General features: G+C 49.2%; 1 annotated feature.

The window, feature by feature from the left end:
• Positions 2,104-2,897: an enhancer, noted in NCBI's record as "OCT4-NANOG-H3K27ac-H3K4me1 hESC enhancer chr19:54146969-54147762 (GRCh37/hg19 assembly coordinates)". NCBI's record gives its function as "activates a minimal SCP1, AML or CMV promoter by ChIP-STARR-seq in naive H9 embryonic stem cells {active_cell/tissue: H9 hESC(naive)}" and the evidence as "EXISTENCE:reporter gene assay evidence [ECO:0000049][PMID:30033119]".

Here is a 6,436-nt window from a genome sequence, read left to right on the forward strand (position 1 = left end):
GGGCGGATCACTTGGGGTCAGGAGTTTGAGACCAGCCTGGCCAATATGGTGAAACTCCCTCTTTACTAATAATACAAAAATTGGCCAGGCGTGGTGGCGGGCAGGTGTAATCCCAGCTACTCGGAAGGCTGAGGCAGGAGAATTGCTTGAACCCAGAAGGCGGAGGTTGCAGTGAGCCGAGATCGTGCCACTGCACTCCAGCCTGGGGACAGAGTGAAACTGTGTCTCAAATAATAATAATAATAATAATAATAATAATTTAGGCCAGGTGCAGTGGCTCACGCCTGTAAACCCAGCACTTTGGGAGGCCGAGGCGGGTGGATCACGAGGTCAGGAGTTCAAGACCAGCCTGGCTAACATGGTGAAACCCCATCTCAACTAAATATACAAAAAAATTAGCCGGGCGTGGTGGCACATGCCTGTAATCCCAGCTACTTGGGAGGCTGAAGCAGGAGAATCGCTTGAACCCAGGAGGGGGAGGTTGCAGTGAGCCAAGACCGTGCTACTGCACTCCAGCCTGGCAACAGAGCAAGACTCCGTCTCAAATAATAATAATAATAATAATTTAAAAAAAAAATAAAAAATAAGAAATAAAAGAATGAACCACAATGTCCCTTTGTTCTACAGGCCACTCTTGTGCTATCCACAGTTGCCAAAAACCCCCACCTGCCTTGTCTATGGACGCCCATCGGGTGATACCACAAACACCTTTGATCCTACAGATACCAGGGTAAATTCAGCATCCAAGTCCTTGAATTCTTCCCGTGAGTATAAGCTGCCCTGGCTCAGCCCTCTTCTTTGCCAGGAACCCAATCCTTCAAACTTCCCTCAAAGACTGGGTACTTTTAGCATGACTGCTCTAGAGATTCTGGGTGGGGCTCAAAGTTTAACCTTCAGGGTCAGCAACATTTTATGGAAAGAGCCACAGAGTAAATATTTGAAACATTCTCGTACACTGACACTCAGCTGGACTGGCAAAGCAGAATATCTGTGTGTCAGTGTGCGTTTTATTCAGCCGTTGTTTGGGTCAGGGTCTGTGGGCGGCCCCTGGCAGCTAATGCCCTCCTGTGAGGAACAATACCTCACCATCAAGCACAGTCCGTCACATATTCTTGCCCTGGTCGCTCGCTCTTTCTTTCTTTTCTTTCTCTTCTTTCTTTCCTTTCTTTCTCATTTTCGTTTCTTTCTTTCTTTCCTTCTTTTCTTTTTCTTTCTGTCTCTCTTTATCTATTTCTGTTTCTTTCTCTCTCTCTCACCTTTCTTTCTTTCCTTCCTTCCTTCTTTCTCTTCCTTTCTTTCTCTATCTCTCTTTCTTTCTTTCCTTCCTTCTTTCCTTGTTTCCTTCTTTCTTTTCTTTTCTTTCTTTTTCTTTCTTTCTTTTCTTTCTTTCTCTCTCTCTCTTTCCTTTTCTTTCTCTCTCTCTCTCTCTCTTTCTCTCTTTCTTTCTTTCTGACAGGGTCTTGCTGTGTCACCCAGGCTGGAATGCCAAGATGCACTCATAGGTCACTGCAGCCCAAATAAATTTCCCCAGGCTCAGGTGATCCTCCCACCTCACCCTTCCAAGTAGCTAGGACCAACAGGTACATGCCACCATGCACGTCTAATTTTTATTTTTATTTTTTGAGACTGGTCTTGCTCTGTCACCCAGGCTGGAATGCAGTGGCACGATCACAGCTCACTGCAGCCTCGACAACCCGGCCCCTCCAAGCAATCTCCCCCCTCACCCTCCCAAGTAGCTGGGACCTCAGGCATGTACCACCATGCCCTGCTAATTTTTTATTGTTTGTAGAGGCGGGGTCTCCCTATGTTGCGCAGGGTGGTCTTGAACACCTGGCCTCAAGCAATCCTCCTGCCTTGGCCACCCAAAATGCTGGGATCATGGGCGTGAGCCACTGTGCCTGGTCTGGTCTTCCTCCTTTCATCCTCTTAGTCCTTGACCTGTCCCTCTTCTAGAGTCCTCCCTCTTCATGACCCTCTCCCCCTTGTTGGGGCTCAGAAACTGATACCTCTAAATACAGCATGTTAAAGGTGCCTCAAGGGCCGGGTGCAGTGGCTCATGCCTGTAATCCCAGCACTTTGGGAGGCCGAGGCAGGCAGATCACTTGAGGTCAGGAGTTCAAGGCCAGACCGACCAACATGCAAAACCCTGTCTCTACTAAAAATATGGAAAAAGAAAATTAGTTGGGTGCTGTGACACACGCCTGTAATCCCAGCTACTTGGGAGGCTGAGGCAGGAGAATCTGGGAGGCGGAGGTTGCAGTGAGCCGAGGTCACACCACTGCACTCCAGCCTGGGCAACAGAGCGAGACTCTGTCTCAAAAAATAATAAGAAATAAATAAATGAGCCTCAAGGTCTCTGACCTCCCCCGATCATCTCTTCCAAAGCACAGGCCTTTATCTGTGTAAGATCCAGACCTGCCAAGAGGAATAATTGTTTTTTCTTCTCCTCCCTGTGAGACAAAGAATGTAACCACACCTGAACAGATCCCATCACTGTCAATAGGAATGATTTCCAGGACCCATTCATGCTCTCTAGTAATCCTTTATTGCCCTCAATGGAATTCCTCTAGCCCCCTCCCATAATCAGTTTGCCAGGAGAACATATAAGCTTCTGAACCCCCTTGGGGGATGGGCGATCACTGGCTCTCCCCATGCTCAGGTTAAAGACATTTGTAAGCCTTTTCTCCTGCTAATCTGCTTCCTATCAGTTCTTTTCAGCCAACCTTCAGAGAGCCAAAGGCAGCCTTCACCTTGGCCTCAACACCTTCCATGCCTTTTGCTTCTCCTCCTCCCCTGCAAAGCATTCCCCACTCCTTGGGTTCCCCACTTTCAAGCATCCCACCCTCCCTGTTATATGTCATCCTCCTCATTCTCTGCTTTTATAACCCTTTTAAAATTATGGGCCCAGCCAGGTGCAGTGATGCATGCCTGTAATCCCAGCTCTTTGGGAGGCTGAGGCAGGCAGTTCACTTGAGCTCAGGAGTCCTACACAGCTGGGGCAACATGGTGAGACCCCCATCTCTACCAAATTGCAAATATTAGCCGGGTGTGGTGGTGTGAGCCTGTATTCCCAGCTACTCAGGAGGCTGAGGTAGGAGAATGGTTTGACCCCAGGAGATGGAAGATGTAGTGAGCCAAGATCACGACACTGCACTCCAGCCTGGGCAACAGAGCAAGATCGAGCCTAAAAAAAAAAAAATTAGGTGGGGTGCGGTGGCTCACACCTGTAATCCCAGCACTTTGGGAGGTCGAGGCAGGTGGAACACCTGAGGTCAGGAGTTTGAGACCAGCCTGGCCAACATGGCAAAACCCCATCTCTACTAAAAATACAAAAAAATTAGCTGAGTGTGGTGGCGGGTGCCTGTAATCCTGGCTACTTGGGAGGCTGAGGCAGGAGAATCACTTCAACCTGGGAGCCAGAAGTTGCAGTGATCTGAGATAATGCCATTGCACTCCAGCCTGGGTGATAGAGTGAGACTCTATGTCAAAAAAAAAATACATAAAAAAATTAAAAATTAAAAATCAATTTAAAAAATGCCAGCTAGTATACTTTTCCTCTCTCCCTTCCTTTTTCTATCTCTCTCTCTTTTTTTTTTTTTTTTTTTTTTTTTTTTTTTTTTTGAGACAGTTTCACTCTTGTCGCCCAGGCTGGAGTGCAATGGCGTGGGGATCTTGGCTCACTGCAACCTCCACCTCCTACACTCAAATGATCCTTCTGCCTTAGCCTCCTAAGTAGCTGGGATTACAGATACAAGCAACAAATCCTAATTCTTGTATTTTTCGTAGAGGCAGGGTTTTGCCATGTTCTCCAGGCTGGTCTCAAAGCGAATGCTGGCCAGGCTCATTTTTTTAATTTGAATTGTGGGAAAACTGAGGCTGGATCGAATGGTCCTGGACATGCCCTGGAACAAACAACATTTAGCTGTGCAAGGCACAGTGTCAGTGTCTGGTATTGGGGTGCCCCAGTCTCAAGTCCCAAGAAAAAGACAAGGCAGACCATGAATTTTGTGTGGCTCCAACTCAGTTTTCTTCATCTGTTGCTTCACTTGCAGTGCCAGACCAGAATCACTTTGACCTAAAACTAGCTACGATAATTAACATTCAGTATGACTCATTACCTAACAAATTCAAAATGTAAGGAACTGTCTTTAGAACTTGTTCTATATAAACATGTTATTAAGGTCTGCTGCGGCTGTTCTATGCAGCTCTTTTTTTTTTTTTTCTGGCGATAGGATCTCACTCTATCGCCCAAGCTGGAGAGCAGTGGCATGATCACAGCTCACTGCAGCCTCAACCTCCTGGGCTCAAGCAATCCTCCCACCTCAGCCTCCCAAAGTGCTGGGACTACAGGCGTGCACCCCTGCACCCAACTAGTTTTGTATTTTTTGTAGAGATGGAGTGTCACTATGTTGCCCAGGCTGGTCTCCAACTCCTGGCCTCAAGCAATCCACCAACTCGGCCTCCCAAGTGCTGGGATTACAGGCGGACGCCACTGCTCCCAGCCCCAGATTTTTTTCTCATTTATATTTCCGCAAACCTCAAAAAAACCCCCAAAGGTCCCTAGGTCAGTCACTTCCCACTAGTAAATAAGTCAGCATCTTTGCAAAGATCAAAGGAAAAGCAATTTTCCTTACCACAGAGCCTCTTACAGGAAAGAGAGCTCTGATTTTCCATATGTTCCCCAACCATGCTAGGATGTTCCTGTGCCCTGATGGCATTCTTACTAACCCATTGTTCCATTCCTTTCCAGCCCTCCTTCCTGTAACGTAAGTGCAGGTGGGAGTTGGGGATTGGTCCGCTAACTGGGTATAGAGAAAACAGATGGGTATGCTATTCTCAGTAAGGGAGCTTCTGTCCTGGGAAAAATGTGGCCTCTCCTAAGGAACCCTATCCCATTGAATCACCCTGATTCACTTTTTTTTTTTTTTTTTTTTTTTTTTTTTGAGATGGAGTCTTGCTCTGTTGCCTAGGCTGGAGTGCAATGGTGTGATCTCGGCTCACTGCAACCTCTGTCTCCCGGTTCTAGTGATTCTCCTGCCTCAGCCTCCCAAGTAGCTGGGACTATAGGCATACACCACCAAGCCTGGCTAATTTTTTTTTTTTTTTTTTTTTTTTTTGAGACGGAGTCTTACTCTGTGCCAGGCTGGAGTATAGTGGCGTGATCCCGGCCCGCTGGCTCACTGTAACCTCCGCCTCCTGGATTCAAGTGATTTTCTTGCCTCAGCCTCTTGAATAGCTGGGACTATAGGCGCCCACCACCACACCCAGCTAATTTTTGTATTTTTAGTAGAAACAGGTTTTCACCATGTTGGCCAGGATGGTCTCGATCTCTTGACCTCGTGATCCACACGCCTTGGCCTCCCAAAGTTCTGGGATTACAGGCGTGAGCCACTGCGCCCGGCCCTAATTTTTGTGTTTTTAGTAGAGATGGGGTTTTGCCATGTTGGCCAGGCTGGTCTGGAACTCCTGGCCTTAGGTGATCTGCCCACATTGGTCTTCCAAAGTGGCGAGATTACAGGCAAGAGCCACTGTGCCCTGCCTCTCACATTTTCTCTCTTCCCAGATTTGGTTCAAGAACTTAAGAGCTAGGCCATGTGCGGTGGCTCACGCCTGTAATCCTAGCACTTTGAGAGGCCAAGGCAGGCAGATCGCTTGAACTCAAGAGTTCCAGACCACCCTGGGCAACATGGTGAGATCCCTGACTACAAAAATTCGCCAGGTGTGGTGGCATGTGTCTGTAGTCCCTGCTATTCAGGAAGCTGAGGCAGGCGGATCGCTTCAGCCTGGGAGGTCAAGACTGCAGTGAGCTGAGATGGAGACACAGCACTCCAGCCTGAGCGACAGAGCCAGACCCTGCCTCAAGAAAACAAAACAAAACGATAACACTGGAGAGCCAGAGCAGGAACCAGTCTCCTCTCCAATCTCCAAACCTGAGAGAGACATGAGTCACACTGACGGCTTTGCCTGCCTGCGATCTCTCTATGTGTGTTGATTCTTGCGGAACAAGGCGCTTCGAGCATCTCCTCTGCCCCTACGCCCGTGACCCTGTCCCTCTTCTTGTCTCCATTGCCCCCCAAGCGGGTACATTTGCCCACCTTCTCACCTGGGACACCCTGGGCGTGGATCTCCTCACCTGCAGCGCTAGGTGTGCTCCCAGGGTCTCCACATCCCTAACCCCCGCAAGGCTGGCCTCTTTACCTGCAAAGCCCCCCGCCGCGGCCTCCTCCCTCTACCATACCCCAATGCCAGGCTCACTTCCTGCCGCCTGCCTGGAACGGGGCTGCTCATGCATCCCCCACGCCCTCTGAAGCCCCCCCGGCGCACTCCACGCCCTCTCGCCTGACCCCTGTTTCCGCTGCCGGCGTCTCCACACCCCCTGACGCCGCCACGCCCTGGACCGAGGTCTCTAGAGCTGCGCGCCGGCTGCACGTCCCTT

This window comes from Homo sapiens, chromosome 19, assembly GCF_000001405.40.
Source record: "Homo sapiens chromosome 19, GRCh38.p14 Primary Assembly".
NCBI classification, from domain to species: domain Eukaryota; kingdom Metazoa; phylum Chordata; class Mammalia; order Primates; family Hominidae; genus Homo; species Homo sapiens.